We start from the raw sequence: 23,326 nt of genomic DNA, 5'->3' as shown, positions 1-23,326 counted from the left end.
AAGTTTAGTAAATCATAGCCTTAAAAAATTTTTCATAAAGAAATACTTTAGGATTCATAATTTACAACAATGGAATCAACTTATAAAAGATCTTAAGAAATATGGTATTCTACCCTATCCATCTCTATTTCAGGAGAGTTATTTTACAAATGGAGATTCAAAGCCAAGATTCACCCACCTAACATCACACACACGAGTCAATAGGAGAACCAGGACAACCCAGATCTGCTGACTTGTGTACCTTCCTGCCACGCTCTGCTGGCATGCATTTGGAGAATTAATGTACTATTAACTTCTTGACTTTCACTTTTGTCTGAATCAACTTGGATGCCAGCTTTCACTTAGTGTGAACCTTCATAAACATGTTTTCATTCTGTACAAATGAGTCATATACTCTGTACAAATGAGTCAACTGTATCCTCCTTCCTTTTCAATCCTTTACTAAATTAGTTCTGAAACTCCAGCCGTAAAAAGTAGTTTCTGGCCGGGTGTGGTGGTTCATGCCTGTAATCCCAGCACTTTGGGAGGCTAAGGCAAGGAGATCACGAGGTCAAGAGATCGAGACCATCCTGGCCAACATGGTAAAACCCCATCTCTACTAAGAACACAAAAATTAGCTGGGCGTGGTGGCGCACGCTGGTAGTCCCAGCTACTCGGGAGGCTTAGGCAGGAGAATCGCCTGAACCTGGGAGGCAGAGGTTGCAGTGAGCCGAGATCGCGCCACCGCACTCCAGCCTGAGCAGCAGAGCAAGGCTCCGTCTCAAAAAAAAAAAAAAAAGTAGTTTCAGAAAGCTATTTATGATGCTATGCGGACTGACAATGTTCAGTTGCTTTGGAAGGAATCTGATTATTCTCTCAGCTGCATTTCATTTCTCTTTGCCCTCTTGCTCCTACCCTCCACTCCTACCCTGTCCCCCGCCCCCAAGTATTTCAACTACTGTTCTGGATTCCTCCAATTTCTGAGTTCTACTAACCACAGACGGCAGAACACTGGCTGGGTTAAACCAAGCATGGAACTAGCAAAGAGTTGGACAATTCAAAGGCAAACATAGAAGAAAGTAAACGGAGTAATATAACACAATAGTATATTTAACTTTACCCTAGGTCCAAATGATATTTCAGTTGAAGAAATATTAATAAATAAGTTTACATGGAACATCTGCTTTAATTAACAAGAAAAGACTAAGGTACAGGATGTGAGACACACGTACAAAAGATGGGAGTGATAAATATCAATTTCAGGATAATTGGAAGGCAGGGAGGGATACAGTCAGAGGTGCACAAGGGGGCTTTGATTGTGTTGGTTTTGTTTTGAAAAATTAACTGAAACTAAAATTTAGAAGACAGTCACTGTCATCTTAGCTCAGAAAATTTTTTTAATCGAGTAACAATTTTTGAGTAACATCAGTGAGTTACTTAACTAAATTCTGAGAGAAAAGACTGTATACTTATAATAAAAGGATTAATTTTAAGAGTAGGGAAAGTATTCAGTCTTCTCCTAATTTCTGAACACTAACATTTTCTGTTTATTGGCTTTTTATCCACTCCTTGCAGGCTGTCCTCAGGGCTCAGTTCACACTCCTATCTTCTTTTCTCTATAAAGCCTTTGCCTCTGAGAACTCATCCATTAACTTGACAGTGATGAGTCTTAAATCTTACACACATTTGATGACAAGAGGCTAATAGCCTGAAGAGATCATAAATGCACTTAAAAAATGAGTAAAGATCATGAACAAAAGTTTCACAGAATTCAAACTGCTTACTAGTAACTAAAAACATACAACTTAAAATAACATTACTAGTTATCAAACTACCAAGTATCTTTTTTCTTTTAAGATAGCATTCCATTCTGTTGAGCATATAGAGAAACAAGCACACTTAAAAATTCATATAGCCTTTTAGAAAGCAAATTACCATGATATATGGAAAGCCTAAATAAGTGTCTTTTTTTTTTTTTGGAGACGGAGTTTCGCTCTTGTTGCCCAGGCTGGAGTTCAATGGCATGATCTCGGCTCACCACAACCTCTGCCTCCCGGGTTCAAGCGATTCTCCTACCTCAGCCTCCCAAGTAGCTGAGATTACAGGCATGTGCCACTACGTCTGGATAATTTTTTGTATTTTTAGTAGAGACGGGGTTTCTCCATGTTGGTCAGGCTGGTCTTGAACTCTCGATGTCAAGTGATCTGCCCGCCTCAGCTCCCCAAAGTGGTGGAATTACAGGCGTAAGCCACTGCGCCTGGCCCCAAGTGTCCATTTTTTAATTTAGTAATTCTAACCTAGGTATTTTTCCTGCAGTACAAAATGAGGATAAAGCTTTACATGAAAACATGTTGTTCCTATTATGTTTATTGCAGCAAAAACACAACCTAAAAACCCAATCTGAGCAGGTTTTAACTAAATACTAATAATTCTGACACTAGAACGTTATGTAGCTAACAAAAATATGTCGTAAAAATAATCATGTAGAAACTGGAATCAGGGTTAAACAAAACAAAAAAAACAAAAATGCATAAATTATCATCCCAATTACATTAAATACAGACACTGATTAAAAGACTAGAAGGCCATAAATAATTAAAAGTGCTTATCTCTTATTACGATGTTAATGAAATAAGGGACTCTTATTTTACATTTTTTATATTTTTCTCTATTTTCCAAATTTCCTATTAGCATGGATTAACTGGCCAAAAAAATCCTACTTAAAATAAAACACTCAGCAGGTATAAGAAAAACTTATCTCTATTGTAAAACCTATTTCTCCTTCTAACCTCCTTGTATATCAAATTAAATACCACCAAATGTCTAAATTAAAATAGCTTCCATTTTGGATTAATATTTGATCCCTTTCTCATTAATCCAGGATCTGTCATGTACTTTTACTTAAAATAAAAATATAGAGATAATCTTGAAAATTATTCTTTAGGCTTATGTTGCTACATATTGGAAAATCTATTCTGAGGCATTCTCTTGCTGACTTGTAAAGCTCTGGATACGCACATGAGTTCACAGACATATTTCTAAAAGTGGTTTGAAGTCCAAATCGTTGAAGACAGACTACTGATTGAGAAGGGTCAGGATAAAGTAGCTAAACTCTAGGAAAAAAACAGACTTTCAGATTTTTTGTAGTTGTTGAGGCCTTGGGTTTAGATTACCATTCTGCCACTTACTAACATCTGACCTAGAACAACTCACTTAATTTTTTTTTAAGCCTCAATTTCTGTACCTATAAAACAGGGTTATCTTCTTATTGGACTATTTTGAGATTTAAGTAAAGTTTCTCTGAAAGTACTATATAACCTGTAAAGCATTATCACCTGCTTAACTGACACAAGGATAAAACATTTAATAACTAAAAAAAAAAAAAAAAAAAAGATCCAAACAACTGCATTTTAAAACTACACCTATTTTTAAAAAATTGTGCTGTTAGTTGACTTTATCAAAGAGTTACTGTCAAACACAACATACTGCCAATATTCTTGCATTTGCACATAATTATTTTTTCTTTATATCCATATGTATAATGCTTATACTTTTTCTAGTAAAATTATAATGTATTTGATGGTTAAAAAACCATCTACTTCTCCACTGAAATTAATTCATAAATTTCTCTTTTAGTTAAAGAAAGTGGGGAAGGAGGAAGAAATAGGCTGGTAGAAAGATTTCCATGGGTCTTAGGTTTGTGCATTTGGTGAGCAGCAGCACTGAACAGCTTTTGTTTAAGACCATCTTTTCTATTATTTTTGTATAAAATACCTTCTCCTGGGGCAAAAGTTGAGTGAGTTTTCTTACAGACAGGGTTTCCCAAGCTCAAGGTCCCTTAGCAGTGATGCACAGCACTCACCTAGGCTGTTCCATGTCACTCCCATTGTAGCAGGACAAGCCACAGACAAAACCCCTCAGACACTGAGAAGGAAGGGCTTTATTCAGCCGGGAGCTTCGGCAAGACTCTTGTCTCCAACAACCGAGCTCCCCAAGTGAGCAATTCCTGTCCCTTTTAGGGGCTCACAACTCTAAGGGGGTCTGTTTGGGAGGGTCGTGATCGATTGAGCAAGCAGGGGGTAGAATGGAACAGAACAGGACAGGGATTTTCACAGTGCTTTTCTATACAATGTCTGTAATCTATAAATAACCAATTAGGTCAGGGGTTGATCTTTACCAGGCCCAGGGTGTGGCACCGGGCTATCTGCTTGTGGATTTCATTTCTGCCTTTTAGTTTTTACTTCTTCTTTTTTTGGAGGCAGAAATTGGGCATAAGACAATATGAGGGGTGGTCTCCTCCCTTACCGTGAGATATGAATGTCAAAGGGAACTGACATGAAGTTCATGCTGCCTACTGACCCAGGATGCTGCCTCCTGCCAGCATCCATGAAACTGAGGCAGGTTAACTTGTTAGCTTACAAATGGGGTAAAATTTCAGATCTGTCAAAGTTCTTAAGAAAGTCAATAAAATCTAGAAATGTGCCAGTTTCCATTTTTTACTGCTTTTTCTATCAAAATATCTCAACAGAGACATCATAAAAGAAACCAGTAACAGCTGCTGTCTCTAAGGAGAGGAATCAAGATCTGGAGTGGGAAGAAAATTTAGTCTTTACTGCCAGGCAGAATATTAAACACTTTCCATGAAATACATCTCTTAATGCTCTCAAGAAGCATTAAATACCTATCAAGTACCTATGTACCTATGAAGTACATACTGTTATTATTCTGTTTTTACAAATGAGGAAACAGGCTCTGGAGCTGAGCTTTTAACTGTTTTGTTGTATTGTCTCTCCATATGTAGAGTATTTATGGAATATTAGATAACAGTGATACATCCCACTTTCAGAGGTGTTAGAATGTGGAAAGTTAGAAGGTGGGATGTATCATGGGTTAACATATATAATATATGCAACATATATTTTTTATCATAATACATATTCTTGTATCCCTACTCTGTACTGTTATGTATATATACTATAATATGTAGCCTTGCTTACTGTTTGAATTTTTTGCCATTATATGTATTACATTTAAACTTTTAAAAACCAATGAAGGGCCGGGTACAGTGGCTCATGCCTGTAATCCCAGCACTTTGGGAGGCCAAGGCAAGCGTATCACTTGAGGTCAGGAGTTCAAGACCAGCCTGGCCAACGTGGTGAAACTGCATCTCTACCAAAAAATACAAAAATTGGCCGGGTGTGGTGGCGCACACCTGTAGTCCCAGCTACTCAGGAGGCTGAGGTGGGAGAATCGCCTGAACCTGGGAGGTGAAGGTTGCAGTGAGCTGAGATCACACCACTGCACTCCAGTCTGGGTGACAAAGTGAGACCCTGTCTCAAAACAAAAACAAACAAAAAAACCCAATGAAGTCTTTAGTTCTTTCCCTGTCTTACTATCACCACTATTTCAGACATTATTTCATGTCTGTGCATTACTGTAAGTCTTCTGGCTGATCCCTTTTTCTCAATCCAAAACATCCTGTCTAATATCACCAAACTAATTTTAAAAGTACCATCCTTCTGGCCAGGCGCAGTGGCTCACGTCTGTAAACCCAGCACTTTGGGAGGCCAAGGTGGGCAGATCACAAAGTCAGGAGTTCGAGATCAGCCTGGCCAATATGGTGAAACCCCATCTCTACTAAAAATACAAAAATTCACCGCGTGTGGTGGCGCACACCTGTAGTCCCAGCTACTTGGGAGGCTGAGACAGGAGAATTGCTTGAACCCAGGAGGTGGAGGTTGCAGTGAGCTGAGATCGAGCCACTGCATTCCTGCCTGGGCGACAGAGCGAGATTCTCTATCAAAAAAAAAAAAAAAAAAACCCTTCTGATGCTGAGTGTGGTGTAAAAGATGACCAACACCAAACACGTTCTAGTATATGAAATGTCAATTTCATCATTTCTAATAAACACATTTTCCACATTCTAGCACCTCTGAAGGTGGGATGTATCACTGTTATCTAATATTCCATAAATATCCTATGTATGGAGAGACAATATAGCAAAATGGCTAAAAGCTCAGCTCTAGAGCCTGTTTCCTCATTTATAAAAACAGAAAAATAACGGCATGTACTTCATAGGGTTCTTGAGAGCATTAAAAGATGTACTTCAGGCCGGGCACAGTAGCTCATGCCTGTAATCCCATCACTTTAGGAGGCTGAGGCGGACGGATCACCTGAGGTCATGAGTTCGAGACCAGCCTAGCCAACATGATGAGACCCCATCCCTACTAAAAATACAAAAATTAGCTGGGCGTGGTGGCACGTGCCTGTAATCCCAGCTAACCAGGAGGCTGAGGCAGGAGAATCGCTTGAACTCAGGATGCAGAGGTTGCAGTGAGCCCAGCTCGTGCCACAGCACTCCAGCCTGGGCAACAGAGTGAGACTCTGTCTCGGGGGGAAAAAAAAAAGATGTACTTCATGTAAAGTGCTTAATATTCTGCTTGGCAGATGGTAAGTACTGTATTAGTGTTGGCTATCATTAGCTATTATTATTAGAAGTACTATGTGTCAGGCACTAAGCTTTTTACACATTATTTAATTCTTAAAGTTTCCTGCAAGGTGGGTATTATTCCCAGAAATTTAAATGAGTTATGAAAACTTCTCAAGGTTAGGTCACATCACTAATTATTGGCAGAAATTATGTTAGATCCTAGGGCCAGATGATTACAAAGGCCATGACCTTATTATTAGCCACCTGACTGTTTGATGACATCAAAGCTTTAAAAGAACATAGTAGGTCTAAGAAACCAAGGAGTTTAAGGAAGAAAATCAGGCCTCCATATATACAGGCAGGCAGATAAGAAATGAAAAGCCCTGCCTCCTTGGCTTACAATGCTCCTGTTAAGAGAGAAAGATGCAAGTTATTTAATCTTTTTTTAATCCTTGCCACCCTTCTCTTCTATTCCTGCAAAAAACCTGAACGTATACACACTAGCATAACATTTGAGCAACTTAATTTCAAAGTCCGAAGTCGACCTCTTCAAAGTTGTATAAGAAGGGCTGAGATAATGTTTATAAAATAAAAGAAGCTGGCCAGACACGGTGGCTCACACCCATAATCCCAGAACTTTGGAAAGCCAAGCCCCATAGATCGCTTGAAGCCAGGGGTTTGATATCAGCGTGGGCAACATGGTGAAACCCTGTCTCTACAAAAAATACAAAAGTTAGCCAGGCATGGTGGCACATGCCTGTAGTCCCAGCCACTTGAGAGGCTGAGGTGGGAGCATCGCTTGCGCCCAAGAGGTTGAGGTTGCAGCGAGCCATGATCATGCACTGCACCCAAGCCTGGGAGACAGAGTGAGACCCTGTCTCAAAAAAGTAGTAAGTAAACAAACAATAAAGAAAGAAACAAACTAAATAGTGAAGATAAACTGATAAATCTTAGCTCTCGGTTTTTTTCAACTGGCATAAACTGTTATTCATCCCTATCAAGTTACAGGTGGCCTGAAAATGGCTTTGAAAATTGTTTTTTTGGTGTGTTTAAAGAATATCACCTATTTTACATTCATTGTAATGTCTACGTCAGACACTTTCAATAAAGGAATAAAACATTAAAAGTTCTCATTAACATCTTTACACTACTTACTGGGCCATTTCAATTTTGTTTCACTTTGAAATAAAGAGGCATTCCAGGACCAGGCTTAAAACTGGAAAAAACAACCTAGCTAGGCTGGAATGATTCAAAGAATAAGCTGAGTTCCCACCCACCCCCTTCTTTGAGTACAGTCTAGTCTTTTCTCTAGAATCTAGCTTCTCATTAGACTCTGAAATGTCTATACCTCAAGAAATTCCAATTGAGTCCAATTGAAAATCCAAGTAACTTCCTTTTTTTAAGAAGAAAAGCATGCAACCAAGTAACTTTTTTAAGTAAATAAGATCATAACCTAATATACAGCTCAAAATTAACAGTGGGTTTGAATTCTAGCTTATTTTTTTTTCAGTGTTTCAGAAGGAAAAGAAAAGATTTAAGCAGGCCAAAACAGTGACTGCCTTTTCGTTGGAGTCAAGTAAACTTGAGTGCCTCTGTGTTAAGCTCTTCTACATACTTTTTTTCGTCGATTCCTAAAAAATCTGTAGTGAGTCATTATTTCCATTTTACATTTAGAGAAACTCAGGCTCAAAGACAGTAACTTGCCCCATACCGCACAATTAGTGACAGACCTGGATTTTGAGCCCAGGCTCTTTCAATCTAAGGGCCCTGTGCTCTTTCTACCAGCCTTTCCCTTTTACTGTCACTGGCAATACCAATAGCTCAAAATGACAAAAATTAAAGTTTTATATTCTCCCCAATAGGATTCCTTAATTGTCTTTTCATGGGCTCTACTCTTTTTCTGAATTTCTTCTGTTGTTCAAACAATACTACCATCCAACGAAGCTCACTTTTCAGTTCTATCAGACATTTGCATTATAAATGCATCCAGCTAAGAGAAGTTAATAAGAGACTAAGAAGCTGTAAGACAAAACTGACAGAAGCAGTAATCTAATTAGTCAGAAAGACAAGACTAAGGTCAGGCAATTCAAAAACCCTTCTTTTTTCCTTTATTAGAGGCCAACTAAGGCAAGGAATATACCTTTTAGATGATCCCTAATATTTACAGATTAAATCCACCAAGATATCTATTTGCCTGTGCAAGAGTCACAGTGCACACATGAAACATCTCTAGTGAATCCAAAGTGGTCTGAGGTCCCTCCGTGCCTTCCTCTCACTGTTCACAACATCTGCTGACTTGTTACCTACAGCCTCCCCTATTGCCAGCTCAAGCAAGAAAACTGAAACCTCCTAAAAAAGTCAGGGTCTGCAATACATTCATTCAGACTAGGTAATTTTACATTTAAAAAAAATCCTTGAGGCTGGGTGCAGTGGCTCATGCCTGTAATCCCAGCACTTTGAGAGCCGAGGCAGGTGGATCACTGGAGGTCAGGAGTTTGAGACCAGCCTAGCCAACATGGTGAAACCCCATCTCTACTAAAAGTACAAAAATTAGCCGGGTGTGGTGGCACGCACCTTTAATCCCAGCTACTTGGGAGGCTGAGGCAGGAGAATCGCTTGAACCCGGGAGGCAGAGGTTGCAGTGAGCCAAAATCACGCCACTGAACTCCAGCCTGGGCAACAGAGTAAGACTCTGTCTCAAAAAAAAAAAAAAAAAAATTCCATGAAAAACAAAAGTTTTTCAGTGCATTTTATTTTAACAAAGTTGATGCTGGGTTAATAATTGTGAAATCTATTTCAAGGATAATCATAAATACAAATGCTTACTCTATGTCAGATCTCATGCTATAAACTACAAATCTACACTATAATCCATTTATTCCTCTCAGCAAGCCTACCAAGTAGGTATTATTATCTTGTTTTACAGGTGAGAAAATTAAGGCTCAAAGAAGGGGGAAAAACTTTCCCTAGCTCACACAGCTAAATAAATGAAATGCCACATACAGATTTTCCTGACTTCAGTACATGCCTTAACCACTAAAATTTAAGTTTTGCTGTATTTTCAGATAGAAATAGGAGGACTTTTACAAACATCCTCCAAATAAAGTTCCATCAGTAATTTACCTAAAAATGTTAATTCAGGTTAAAATGTAAGTAATTTTTACCATACTATGAGAGAATTAACAAATGTAATTTGGCTAAATTTTATATTATAGAAAAGCTGCATGAAGAGCCCAGGTATTACAGGCACTGTGCATTACAGATTAAGATAACAGCATTAATGATTCCAGCCATCTTGACCATATATTAAAGAAAACATTCTTTAGATATCTAAAATCCCACATGGATATAAGCAACAACCAATTGTTCTAAGGACAAGAATAATTTATAGAAATGAAATGCCCATCCAGTGGACCCGGGGTTCAGTCTCACCTCATGCACTTCAGTGTCTTTGTATATGTAGCTAGCTATACCTACAGCATTATCTCAACTTACACCTTCCACTCATCCATCATGACCAAGGTTAACCTCCTCCTCTTACCCCTTTAAAGCCCCTAAACCTCCATCTCCTACCCCTTTAAAGCCCCTAAACCTCCATCTCTTTTCCCTAAGCAAAGTGAAATCATTTCCCTAGTCTGCTTACACTGGTACACCTTTTATTATTAGAGTGCCTATTAAATTTAAATCTTCACCATACATAGTGATTTCCCTTAGCAACTTCAATTGTTTGAGCAACTTCAGAAAGGTAGATTAAAAACAAAACAAAACAGGACTTGCGAATAAACCCAGCCCTTACTACTGTGTGATCTTGGGCATTTATTTGTCCAGCAATCTTCATATATCTCACACATAAAATGGGGTAACACCTAGCAAAATATCCGACAGATAAAGCCACCTTCCCCCTAACCAAAATGTGTGTAAACTGTCTTTGATGTTTTGTAATGAAAGACATTTCCTACAACTGATTTATAACATGCTTCCTGAACTGATTCAAAAACTAGTGACAAGGTTCCTCATTGGAAAATCAGACTGACTGTCACTCAATAGGTTATACAGCATGGGCAACAGACCTGTAATTTATTACTCAATGTTCTGAGCACTAAGGTACTAAACAGTGCCCAAAGAGAAAGGAAAGTCAACTTTTTATTACTTTGAAATGGAAACTGAGTTCAAGTCTCTAATAAAAAGATCCGAGTCTGCAGTTTGCAATAGTGGCCTACTGAACCTCACTGCATAAACTAAAGTTTGTTCATTCTCTCTCTCCTTAAACTGCTAATTTATGGCTATGGCAGGCAGAATAATGGTCTCTCAAAGATAACCACATCCTAATCCTGGAAACCTGTGAGTATTAGTTTACACAACAAAAGAGAATTAAGGCTGCTAATCAGCCGACCTTAAAATAGGGAGATTATCCTGGATTATCTAGGTGGGCCCAATGTCATCAATCACAGGGTTCTTACCAAGAGGCAAGGAAGGATATGTGATGAATGCCAGGAGGGTCGAAGTGATGTGATATAAGAACTAGACTTGCCTTTGCTGGCTTTGGAGATGAAAGAAGGGGCCAAGAGCAGCCTCTAGAAGCTGGAAAAGCCAAGAAAAGACATTCACCTCTAGAGCCTCCAAAAAGGAATGAAGCTCGGGCTACACTTTAATTTTAGCCCACTGAGACCTGTGTCACTTTTAACCTACAGAACTGTAAGGTTAAAAATATAATGTTTTATGCCACAAAGTTTTGTGGAAATTTGTTACAGCAGGAATAAAAAACTAAATGTTTTGGGGTGTTTTTCCTACATTAACTTCTTTAGAGTCCTTTGAGTCACAATGGAGATACACTGGGACATTACAAAATCAAGTTTAAGAATCTCTAATGGAATGGGGAAAACATTTCATTGTACAAAACTTAAAATTTGGAAGGAAAAGTACCACCACACAAGATGGCATACTTCTAGTATGGCTAAGTAGACACTGTCAGGGCAAACCACTGAATAATAACTATAAACTCTGGACAAAATATTTTATAAAAACAAAAGCTTTCTGAAGGCACTGGGGAACAACCAAACAGGCAGACACAGAAGGGGAGTCTACATTCATAAAAAACCAATGAGGTTTTTGTTTTTTCTTCACATCTTTTAGCCTGAAGGCAGGCCTCAGTGAGAGTTTGGAACAACAGACATGGTAAAGTGGGAAATCCTAGAAAAGGAAGAGCCAGAAAGGGGGAGGGAGCCCTATACATTCTGTATATAAATTCTACGGAAATCTCTGGCTGAACCCTGAACCATGCATGTACATGCTGCAGACTCCAAGGAGCCTAGCTAAAAGAACGGAACCAATATTTGATCTGCTGCCCACAAGGGATATGGATAGCAACAACAAAACACACTATTTGGAGGAATAAAACAGGATCTAGAGCCTCTACAACGTATCATTCACAAAATTCAGCATACAATCCAAAATTGTTCAACATATGGGAAACAAACAAAAAAGGAAAACACATTTTCAAGAAAAAAATCAACTAAGATTACCAGACACAAACTTCAGGACAGCTATAATCATGCCTAAAGACATAAAGGAAAATATCCTCGATGAATGAAAAAATACACAATACAGATGGGTCGCTGACTTACAATTGCCTGTCTTGCAAATTCCCAACTTTACAACTGTATGAAAATGATAAGTATTCAGCATGCTCCTCGATTAAGTCCAGATAACCCCACTGTAAACTGAAATTTACATACTTTCAATTTACAATGGGTTTAATCAGGATGTCATCTCATTGTAAGTAAAGGAGCATCTGTAATTGAAAATGCCACCACAACCCTCTCACCTTCGAAACTACAATAGCAGCTTGGGAATGAGGCAGTGATAAGTTCTAAAGTGGCATCAACATTACAGAAAAACCATGGGCAATTACTGAAGAAGGGAATAAACTTATTCTGATTATCTATTACTCCATAATTTATAACTTTTAGTCAATTACTACAATCACCTATGAGGTATTATCTCAGTTTACAGAAAAGAAAAATGAGGCTCAAAGAGATTAAGATGGCTCAAGATCACACAAACTAATACTTAATTCTAGCCATATTTTAAGCAATGATGAGCTGAAAAGCCTCGTCAAGAGAATGGCAGCTAGCAAAGCAGAAATTAGATTAGGCAATTTCTTTGAAAGCGTAAATAATCTTTAAAGGTTTCTCATTTAGGAAAGGAACTTAGGTAGACTTTTCTTGTACTTTTCTTGATACTTGCTAGGTTTAATGTGAAATCTCACTACTTGTGAAAGGTTAGAAGGGCCTGGTTGTATAAGTAATAGAACATCCTCACAATGGAATGCTATGTAGCATTAAAATGACAGTATAGAAATGTCTACTGATAAGGAAAGCTGTTCAGAATACATTACAAAAGAGCAGGCTACCAAACAGTATAAATACCTTTCCATTTTTGTAGAAACAAATTGTCTGTAAGGTCTGTTATGTGTAGACATCAAAATGTTAACAATGGTAATTTCCAGGTTGACAAGACAATGGATGATTTTTATTTTTTGAGCTTACTCTACTTGCTAGTCTCAGTATTGTTTTTTCTACACACGTATGACGTGTGTAATAAAAATTAAACTTATTCATCAACTCAAATATTTATTGTGTACATAGTGCATATCAGGTACTATTTGTTTAAAAAAGGGGGGAGGGTGGAAGGGGGAGGGAGAAGGGGAGACGGATGGAGAGAGAGAAGGAAGGAAGGAGGGAGGGAGAGAAAGAGAGTTCCAGAAACATTAAACCTGGATTACAATGGTCCTCCACTACCTCAAGTTGTTCTTTTTCATTAAAACTGCTTTTCAATTTATACTTCTAGCCCCTTTGCCTCAAAAACAAAAGAAACAAAATCTACAAGCACTCTAATTTCTTTTCTTTCTACCATGTCTGATCCTCATCATCTTTCACCTAGCATTCTGCAAGAGCCTCTTATCTACTTAGTCTCCCTGTTTCTGGGTCCAAATCAAACCCATTCCACCCTCAGTCCTATCCAGTGACCTATCCAAAACAGAAACCACATCTTATTCCTCTACTTTAAAACCTTTCACTGACTCCTGACGGCCTCTAAAATCAAATTCTTTAGTATGGCACGCCAGGAGCTCCAATATCTGGCCCCTGTCTCTCCCTTATTTCATTTGGGAACACACCTTACCTCCAACAGCAGAGGGTGGCTTCTCATACATACCGATCTTTTTCTTGCCAACAAGACTTTAAGTTGTCCTTTCCACCTAGAATACCCTCGGACCCCATGCCCAATCTGTTAGTATTACCTTCAGGAAAAATCTTATGCACCTTGAAACCACATTGGATGACCCTATTCATCTCTCTAACACTGTACTTTTACATTGTCTCAACCTTAAAGTTCCTCTTACATGAGACTATCAATTCCAAAAGAACGGGAACTGTCTAAATCTTTTCCTTATCTGTAATATGAGGAAAAAGTAATACCAGCCTCAAAAATGAGATGTGGAATGTAGATATTTAACTCGGTGCTTGGCATACAGAAAACAGTTATCAAATGACTATCATTATTATCCACACTGTTAACTAGAGCTCAGCAGTGCATGACGTACAGTAAGACTTCAAATGTTTATTGAAAGACTGAACTCTGCAAAAAGGAATATTCCCATTTTACAACTGAAGAAACTGAGGAAGATTAACAGCACAAAGTCATAGAGCCACAAAAGGCAGTTAAGCTAACATCCAAACTCGAGTCTAACTCTAAAGCCCTGAATTCATTCTCAATGAATATACACTAGCTCCCTCTTGCTGAGAACTGACTTAACCTATTTCACTCTTAGAAAACAAACAAAACTAAGGCTTCTTTCCAGTATTACTTGTGTAACAGGCCCTGTTGTTATAATCGACATTTCTGGAAATCTGCATTTTTAGATTAACGTGAAGGAGTGTTTCAACTTCTCTGCAATTCAATTTCCTTGCCTACCATGAGATGTACTTGGATCTCAAAAAGATCATTTAATCTCTAAAATCCTGTGGTTCTTTAATTGGGTGCTGTTATTTGCGGCGCCGTTCTTTCAGAGTTAGTTTGATACCGTTTATTTAGCCAGCATTTCCGATATGCAAAGCACAACTGCAGTAAATCAAACATTGGCCACCCTTTTCCAGCCCTAATGAAGTTCTCCCTAAGCCTTCACGAAGCAAGCCAGAGCTCTCCAGTATGCTGCAACCTAAAAGCATCGAGGTCACTAGGCTTGAAACGAGAGGTGCCTCCTTCGGAGCGACGGTCTTCGAAACTGATCTGGCCAGAGCAGGCCTAGATTCTGCGCTACAGCAAAACAGCAAAAACAAACAAACATATATATATATATCACCAAGCAGCCCCTCTTTTCTGTCCTCCTCGACCAAACTAGGAGTACACTTCCCAGTATGGCAACCCTCCCTCGGGGCTTCTCACGGTGGGGCTGCAGCGGCCTCCCTAAGAGGGCTAAGGCCGCAGTGTCCTTGCCGCCGCCTGCAGGCCCGTGCAGAGCCCAGGGCTCTCCTGCGCCCAAAACTAAGGGAGACACGGAGAGCAAGAGAAGGGCGGCGGCAGCGCCGGGCTCAGCTTGAGCCTCCTTACCCAGTGGGCGGTGAGGCCAGCCGCCCGGGCCCGGAGCGCCGCGGAGAAGAACATGGCGGGCCACACTGTTCACCTTCCCCAGCCGCGCCAGGCGAGAATCCCGAGCGCGCCCAGGGCGCACAGCGTGCGCGCTCCCGACCCCAGGCCTAGGCGACCCGGACGGCACGCCGCTCCCTTCGCCGAGGGGCGGGGGCTGACGGGAGGGAGCGAGGGCGCGCGGGGGCTGCTGGGGCCCTGTGGGCGGAGACTTCCCGGGGGAGGGGCGGGGACCAGTCCGTGCTCGGAAAGGGAGGTGTCCTACGGGCCGCTGCAGGGGTCCCGGCCTTGAAAAGAAGCGTCCCGGAGCTGCACCTTGGGCTCCTGGGTAACGAAGCGCCCGCCTGGATTTATAGGGGTGAGCTTCCCTCATGGAGAGCCTTGTGAGGATTAGCCACCTCCTCTTATATTGCTGTTAGTTAAAAATAAAGTCGGGTTGCAACCCACTATAAATCTTATTCTACATGTTACGAATTCAAGACACAGAGGGCTGCTATCCAGTGTGCTAGCCATAGACACCAAATGTCTTGGTTCCCAATCTTTTGCATTAGAGATATGTGCGACATATTTAGGGGTTAAATGGTATGATGTCTGGAATTTGCTTGAGAATAGTGGGGAGCGGGAGGTGAAAAATAAAGCAAGTTGGCCGTTAAGTAAGGCCATAGAAGCTGCATGGTCGTTCTTATTTACTATTCTCGGTACTTTTGTACATATTAGATATTTTCCATAATAAAGCTGAAAAAAAAACCCACTTCCTTCTTCATGTTTGTTTGGTTATCTCTGGAAATTCCAACAAGTATTTATTCAGTAACAGCTCTAATGTGCACAGCACTATTTCCTGGTGTGGACTTCCTCTTGATTTTTTACGTCACTGCCTTCTTTTCTGGAGTGTCACGTCCTGTACCCACCCCCTTCCTTTTGCCCATTTTCTTTGCTATAATAAACTTGTGAATAATTTCTAGAACATTCACAGCAGCACAGGGATTTTAAAAATTTATCCCTCATTAGTTTAAAAACTCAGAAATATTCCATTGCAACCCCTATGAATCATATTTCGCAAATCACAGAATTCAAGACACAGAGGACTGCTGCCCAGTGAGCTAGAAATAGATACCAAATGCCTTGGTTCCCACTCCTTTGCCTTATATTTTATGTTAGTTTGCCTCTCCTAAATTAGCTTCAGTATTTCCCTTTAAAAGGAAAAGACAGTCTGGCCCTTAATGTAAATGTATTTTGTTATAAAGTTACCTAAATACTTATACACCTGGCCGGGCGCGTGGCTCACGCCTGTAATCCCAGCACTTTGGGAGGCTGAGGTGGGCAGATCACGAGGTCAGGAGATCGAGACCATCCTGGCTAATACGGTGAAACCCCGTCTCTACTGAAAATACAAGACATTAGCCGGGCATGGTGGCAGGCGCCTGTAGTCCCAGCTACTCGGGAGGCTGAGGCAGGGGAATGGCGTGAACCCGGGAGGCGGAGCTTGCAGTGAGCCGAGATCGCGCCACTGCACTCCAGCCTGGGCGACGGAGCGAGACTCCGTCTCAAAAATAAAAAATAAAAAATAAAAATACTTATACACCTAACACTATTGTGCACATACTTACTGTTCTTATACAACTAAAGCCAAAACATGTCACAAATACTTGATGGATGAGATAGACATTATATGGATTCTTTTTGAATCTGTAATGCATGCTTTTACTGGATTTTATTAGGGCATTCTCTGACTCCCAATCCAGATTAGTCCTCAAGATACCGTCCCAAAATATGCCTGCCCGCACTTTCACTACTACATTTACGACCAGATTATAACCTCCATGGATGGAGAAACCTGCCCTTCCTATATTGTTTGGTTCAGCAACTTGCACTATACTTGGCAAGTAGAAGGCATTCAATAAATATTTGTTGTCTGAATGAAAATCTTGCCCATAGTGCAAATATTCTGCCTACCTAAAAGGGTTAGAATTATGCTCATTTCTATTTGTCTTAGGTCAGAATTATGCTTGTTTCTATGTGTATCGGTGAGAGTGCTTTTCGCTACAAGTAACAGGAGTTCTAACAAGTAGATTAAAGGATACTGGGTTCATTTTCTCACATGAAAAACAATTCCAGAGGTAGAGTAGCTCCAAGGTTAGTTAATTCAACCTTGCTCAAGGATGTCTTCAAAATGTTTAGTGGCTTCCATCTTTTTACTCCAACATACTCAGCCGTGACTCCTATTATAGACACAAGATATCTGCAGCAGTTCCAAGTATCATGTACAAATGACAACATTCCAAAGAAGAAAAAGAACTCTTACCTCTAAAGTGTCCCAGATGTTCCTCCAGCAGCCTTCTTGTCTCATTGGCTTACAAGACATAGTGGTTAAGAGGGAATACTCTAGAATCAGACTACGGGGGTTCAGCTGCTGCTTTCTAGCTGCGTGACTTTAGGCAAGTTAGTCTCTCTGGGCTTTGGTTTAATAATGGTACCTTCCTCATGGCTTTATTAGGAGAATGTGAAAGGAAAATAAATCTCGGGACCCCCAAATCACTAAGCCAAGGGAAAAGACAAGCTGGGAACTATGTCAGGTAAACCTACCTCCCATTTTTTTCCTAAATAAGATAGCTACAAAGATAAAAAGCTACATACCTCCCTCACAATTTGCCCACAAGAAAATTCCTTACGGACAAAGTACAGACAGATCTCGATGTCATCCCTCTGAGGCTTGCGTGAGACAAGAGCATATCTGATTGCTTTCTCTGCCCTATTGTTCATGTAAAAATGCAAATGCACTGAGCCAGACTAAATTTTGTATTCAGTGGAGGGCTGATCAAGGACTCAAAAGAATGCAACCTTCTGTCTCTTATCTACTTAGGATTTGGAAGCTCTCCCTCAAGTTGTCTCGCCTTACCGAAGTGAACAGATGTACATCTTACACATATTGATTGATGTCTCATGTCTCCCTAAAATGTATAAAAGCAAGATGTACCCCAACCACCTTGGGCACAGGTCGGCAGGACCTCCTGAGGCTATGTCAGGGTGCGTCCTTAAGCTTGGCAAAATAAACTTTCTAAATTGATTGAGAACTATCTCTTTTGGTTTACAAGAATGAAATTGAAGTGGCATCACCGTCTGGAGTAAATATCCAGGGTTCAGCATCTCCTGCCAAGAGGATTAAGGAAAGGGACACATGTGGGTGGGTTAAGGAGCGGAAAGTTTAATAGCCAGAAGAAAGGGGAGAGGAGAGCAGCTCCTTGTAAGACGTCTGAAAAAAGGGACATGGGCGGACCACAGCAGATTTTATAAGCAGGTTTGAGGAGGCAGTGTCTGATTTATGTAGGGCTCACAGATTGGTTTGACCAGGTGTAACGTTTATGTAGCAAGGGGAAGGCTGGTCTCCCAACCCTAATCTTATTATACAAATGGGCTTTCCACTTGGGCAGTGCCATCTAGTCTGCTCCTTACTGTACACGTTGCTGGCAAAAAGAGAAGATGGGGCCGCCACTTTGAACATGCCTCATCCCAGGTAGTATATTCCTATGGGCACAACTGCCAGAATTCACCTGTGCAAGCTCCTAGTTTGCTTGTCTGTCTGCAGCTCGATTTTACAGGCTGCTCTTTGTTAGAAAAGAAAATGATTGGCGGCTGCTTTTTATTAAAAGGGAAACCTTACTGAGGACTCCCATACCCTCACTATCTGCCTAAGCAATTTCTTCTTAACTCCTGTATCGAAATGAGTTGATACCTTTTAAAGTTCTTTAAAAAGTACCTAGCACAGAGTAAATGCTTAGTAAGTGTTAGCCTTCATCATCATCATCACCATCATCAGAATAGAACATTACAATATTAAGATAATTAAGCCACTAATCAGAAAGGAGAATGGAAGGGCTAGTTTGGGGCCCATTAGCTCCTGAACAAAATAGCTCTGCCAGCAAGGAAGGGGCTGAAGAAGTAAATCTAGGTAGGCAACTAACGGGATCATCCACAGTAGACCACCGTCTTTTTGAGTTCATGACCTATAGAGAAAGTGTATATCCCACTGGTGCCTGACACTAATCAAGGACTTACCAGGTGCCCCCAATTTCTATTACCTAGGAACAGAACCAAAAAGTGCAAAGAGTAATGTTTAAAACATTAAGGATGTGTGCTAAGGGAGTGTCTAACCTGTTAACACCTTCTTGAAGATGTTACAGAAAGTAAGATGCTTTTAGTTCAATTCAACTTTATTTCAATTCAACTGCCAGTAAGTGTGGCACCACACTGTTCACCAAGTCAAAAGACTTGTTAATGTCCAGCATGACTTTGGCTTATCCTTAGCCCAAATATTTATTAAGTGAGAATGTCAGAATGGATATCTTTTACACCCAGTAACGTAAGTTAATTTCTGGAGCCACTCCACTTATAAAGTAGCCTCATGTGCAATCAACTATTCTCAGAGTCCTTAGGATAGAATTGTGGGGGCTGTTTGGAAAATTCCTCTTCTTCCTCCCACTATCAAAGTCATTATTTCTGGACACAGACCAGCATGGACATCGATGATTTCAAGTTACTGACCTAACCCTACAAGCTTGATTGAAATTGGCTTGATTATGTAATGAACCCATAGTGAACATCATGGCTGCCTGGTTTGATATATTCCACTATTCTAAGTTGGCACTAGTACCATAAGCCCAGGGAAATTGGCCCTAACTATAGTGGTCAAGCCATTAAATAAAGAATGTGTGGGTGTTGGGGGTGGGGAGTGAGGGACTGGAGGCTGGGGGAGCTAGAATAAAGTCTACAGGGATGACCAAATGTGGGAACTTTGACTCTCTCATTCTTGATTTCTTAGCCATTTAAACCATCACACATAGGCACTATCAAGGACGTGGTGTAATGAAAATCATGAGCTTTGTAATTGGATTTGAATTCTGACCTCGTCACTTACTCGCCTTTGTGAAGCTTTGGTTCTCAGTTTCTGAAAGTATAATTAGAACATTAAATCATTCAGTTTATGGAAAATGATGAACATGGTGCCTGGTACACAGTAAGAGTTCAGAAAAGCTTTGGGTTTTTGTTTTTGTTTTTTGTTTTTTTTTCAGTATCTAACAACTTGTCTGCTCCATCTATGGAACACTTTAGTCAGGCTTTCTAAATTGTGATTAACTCCTAAGTCACATCCTACTTATTAAAGCAGCCACAGGTAGATCGTGCACTCTGGCTCTCAGCATGCCCTCACATAACAATACTGACGTGCCTGCCTTGCTGGGTTTTCTAATGAAAAATGTGAGCTGCAGGCCCAGTCCTGCTTTGCAGGGAAAGGGAGCCAGTTGGTATAAAGTCAAAACTCAATGGAAGGGAAAAATGGGATAAGGTTACTGCTGGGTGAGAGACAGAGAGAGAGAGAAGTATTTCCAGCAGGAAATTGGAGCATGTAAAGAAGAATGATCCGGTCACATTGGTAAACTGAAGTGTTAGACCCATTTCACATTGAGGTGAGGGGGGACGTGAGGTTAGCGAGTGAGTTCTGCATGATTCTTTCAGATTCTTCTCAAGTTATTCTTGCATATTCGAGACCAAAAGGGAAAATGAAAATCAAAACAGCCAGTAACTTAATTACATAGACTTCAAGAACAGATTGTTTTAAAAAAATAATATAAGCAGAACGTCACCTAAGCCATTATCAGATTCACATCGCTCGTTACTTCCCCAACATGGGACTGATCCTAGCAGCTTCTGCAGCTGAAGTGAAATTTTCTATCAGAATTTGATCCATGCTTCCCTAGCAAGTAGTCAAAGTAATTAAACAACAATGAATGTAATTCTTGCCTGATAGATTTGCAAATTGCTGATCACTGTTGTTGGTAATGTGTGGAGCTACATGCTCTCATTGGTGATGGTAGGAGTGTGATAAGATCAGCCTCTGGAGAGGGTAATTTGGCAATATGTGTTCGGTTTCTTAATATGAATTTATCCTAAGGAAGTAACTGAAAAAGTATACAAAAATGTTTATCATGGTGTTATTTGTAATACTGAAAACCTGGAAGCTATATAAATGACATCGGTAGAGAATTTATTAAATAACAGTACAGCCATACAATGGGATATTGCTCTGCAGATTTAAAAATAATAATGAAAATATTTATTGTAAAGAAAAGATGCCCATAATGTGTGGCAACTTAATAAAAAAAAGATTACAAAACATCACATATAACATTACTACATTTTCTGTATATGCATAGGAAAAAATATGGAAAGGTAAAATGTTAATGAGAGTTCTCTCTGAGTGATGGCATTAAAGGTAATTTTCATTTTTTTCTTTATGCTTTTTGTATTGCCTGATTTTATTTCAATTAACACATGCTACTTTATGGTAAGAAAAAACAAAGCTATGTTCATTTTGAGAAATAGTCTAATAAAGGAAAAATAAAAGTGAAAAATTGAATAATTCTCTTTTATATTCATTTCTTTTTAGTGGATATAAACCTCTTTAGAGTATACTTCTTTTGATTGCTATTAATTTTTATTCGGGTTTGAATTTAGGGTATTGAGGAGTGTGGGCTGAGAAGAGGGAAATGGGCCAGTTCTTAGACTCTTCGGGCAGTTTTCATTCTAGACAGAAGAAATAGCTCTGGACTCCCTCCCTCAGGCTGCTTCTTAAAATCCCTGTAAATATTTGAATTCATGTCTTCCTTGACCAGTTACAAAAATATTCATGTAAAGTTTCTTTAAATAGTCAATTTTCTTGCACGTTAAAATATTCCTTGACTAAGAAAAATCATATTGCATCTCAGTGGTTCATTTGCTGTGTATGCTTGTGTGGTGAGATGTAAATAGTCTAAGCTGTATAATGAAAGAGTGGTCGGAGCAGGATGAAACTGGTCAGAAAAGACTTTCATTTATTCATTTACTATGCAAATATATGTTCAGCTCCTCTTATATGCCAGGCACTAGGGCACTGGAGATACAAAGGCAAAAGACATAGCCCTTCCTGGGAAGACCTTACATGCTGGCAGGGAAAAGATTATAATACGAGTGTATGTGCAACATGAATTGGGAACTTAGAGAGGAAGGAATCCCAAAGTCTTACTGGGGATGTCAGATGTCACAGGGCGTGTAACACTTGAAGGTTACACAGGAATTTGCCATAAATAGGGTTTCTTGGAGGTATGTTTTCACCTGAAAGAAATGAAAGATAAGCATTGCTATAGAGCAGTTAGAAGGTCAAGGTGGCACATAACAAACCTAAACAGATTCTGATAATAAAGGTTAGAGGAGTCGTTGTTCCCCTTCTTCCTCTGGGGCCCACTTCCTGCCAGGTCATTTCAGTGCATAGTAACAGAGGCACATGATGTTGGTGCGGAGGCTTTCATCGTCCTTCGTGGATGCTTTTGGCAGGGCCTTGCATACTATGTGTGTGAATTGTTGCGTGCTAATGGCAAGATGACATACGACAGAACTTTCAAGCCAGATAATAAGGGGCTTTGCTATGAGAGCAGTGGAATGACAGGAACTATTGTGTGGATTCTGAGATAGCCTGACTTGGTGGGTCCTGGTATCAACATTTTAGAGAAGGAAAGACTAGAAAACATCTTGTCCAATCTCCTCATTTTATAGGTTAAAAAATAAAAAGTTACTGAGAATGCCAAGATCTTAGCAACCACCTTCTTCATGAATAAATTATTGAGTGTGATAGTTTTGTGTAGTGGTGCTCTATAAACCTTAATGGGAAGATTCATTTTGCTCATCTGGCTGGCAGAGAAGTCCTGCTTAGTTACCTAGCTCTAGCTCATGTGTTTCTTATGTTTATATAGTCAAAGGTCAAAAGCTGACTAAGAACAGACGAGTTCTTTCCTTTTGCATCATTTTTCAACTTTTCAAAGGGCTTAAAATAAACTATCATTTTCCACTATTTACTTAAGGGATTTGTTTTGCAGTATCCGTAGTTCTTGGTAACCTCCCCCCGCACCCCACCACTACCACCCCATTGTACTTATGAAGTGCACAATCTGATTCTTACTCATCTATCAACATCTAAGGAATGCTAGTGTTAATATGTATGGTTTAAGTCACCCAAAACGGAATAAGAATGTTGAATTGGCCAGTAATGTTTGTGACTTTCCACAAATATCTTACATGTATAGAATCAGGAAATCACTCCTCCTAAGACAGAGATGATAGACAAATTTATCAAAGGAAAGAGAGTCTGCCCTTACTTTCTCAGGGACCATACCTACAGCAGGGTGTGAAAGGCTGGCTTCTAAGATAACCATAGCAGGCCAATTTGACTTTGTGTAAGCATGTGAC

At 39.9% G+C, this 23,326-nt stretch overlaps 1 protein-coding gene across 3 annotated transcripts in view, besides 6 other annotated features; it reads right to left on the bottom strand.

Annotated features, from left to right (window-relative positions):
* Positions 1-15,118, bottom strand: part of NDUFV2 (NADH:ubiquinone oxidoreductase core subunit V2) — a 31,643-nt gene extending 16,525 nt beyond the window's left edge. For 2 of the 3 annotated variants that reach the window (XR_243808.4, NM_021074.5), the window contains exon 1: positions 15,020-15,118. Coding sequence is in view for 1 of the 3 variants with exons in the window: in NM_021074.5 (NP_066552.2) it covers positions 15,020-15,073 (54 nt within the window). In the remaining 2 variants the exon portion in view is untranslated. Of the gene's footprint in view, positions 1-178; positions 5,780-15,019 lie in introns of those variants that run through there. The other variant, XM_017025782.2, reaches the window with a different exon arrangement.
* Positions 3,920-4,169: an enhancer, noted in NCBI's record as "active region_13070". NCBI's record gives its function as "activates an Ori minimal core promoter by ATAC-STARR-seq in GM12878 lymphoblastoid cells {active_cell/tissue: GM12878}" and the evidence as "EXISTENCE:reporter gene assay evidence [ECO:0000049][PMID:35858748]".
* Positions 14,049-14,758: an enhancer, noted in NCBI's record as "NANOG-H3K27ac-H3K4me1 hESC enhancer chr18:9103057-9103766 (GRCh37/hg19 assembly coordinates)". NCBI's record gives its function as "activates a minimal SCP1, AML or CMV promoter by ChIP-STARR-seq in naive H9 embryonic stem cells {active_cell/tissue: H9 hESC(naive)}" and the evidence as "EXISTENCE:reporter gene assay evidence [ECO:0000049][PMID:30033119]".
* Positions 15,031-15,390: a silencer, noted in NCBI's record as "silent region_9277". NCBI's record gives its function as "represses an Ori minimal core promoter by ATAC-STARR-seq in GM12878 lymphoblastoid cells {active_cell/tissue: GM12878}" and the evidence as "EXISTENCE:reporter gene assay evidence [ECO:0000049][PMID:35858748]".
* Positions 21,605-21,774: an enhancer, noted in NCBI's record as "active region_13069". NCBI's record gives its function as "activates an Ori minimal core promoter by ATAC-STARR-seq in GM12878 lymphoblastoid cells {active_cell/tissue: GM12878}" and the evidence as "EXISTENCE:reporter gene assay evidence [ECO:0000049][PMID:35858748]".
* Positions 22,255-22,324: an enhancer, noted in NCBI's record as "active region_13068". NCBI's record gives its function as "activates an Ori minimal core promoter by ATAC-STARR-seq in GM12878 lymphoblastoid cells {active_cell/tissue: GM12878}" and the evidence as "EXISTENCE:reporter gene assay evidence [ECO:0000049][PMID:35858748]".
* Positions 22,375-22,464: an enhancer, noted in NCBI's record as "active region_13067". NCBI's record gives its function as "activates an Ori minimal core promoter by ATAC-STARR-seq in GM12878 lymphoblastoid cells {active_cell/tissue: GM12878}" and the evidence as "EXISTENCE:reporter gene assay evidence [ECO:0000049][PMID:35858748]".

This window comes from Homo sapiens, chromosome 18 (genome assembly GCF_000001405.40).
Source record: "Homo sapiens chromosome 18, GRCh38.p14 Primary Assembly".
In the NCBI taxonomy this organism is placed as follows: Eukaryota; Metazoa; Chordata; class Mammalia; order Primates; family Hominidae; genus Homo; species Homo sapiens.
The sequence above is the reverse complement of the archived record's forward strand: the minus strand, read 5'-3'. Positions and strand labels throughout refer to the sequence as shown.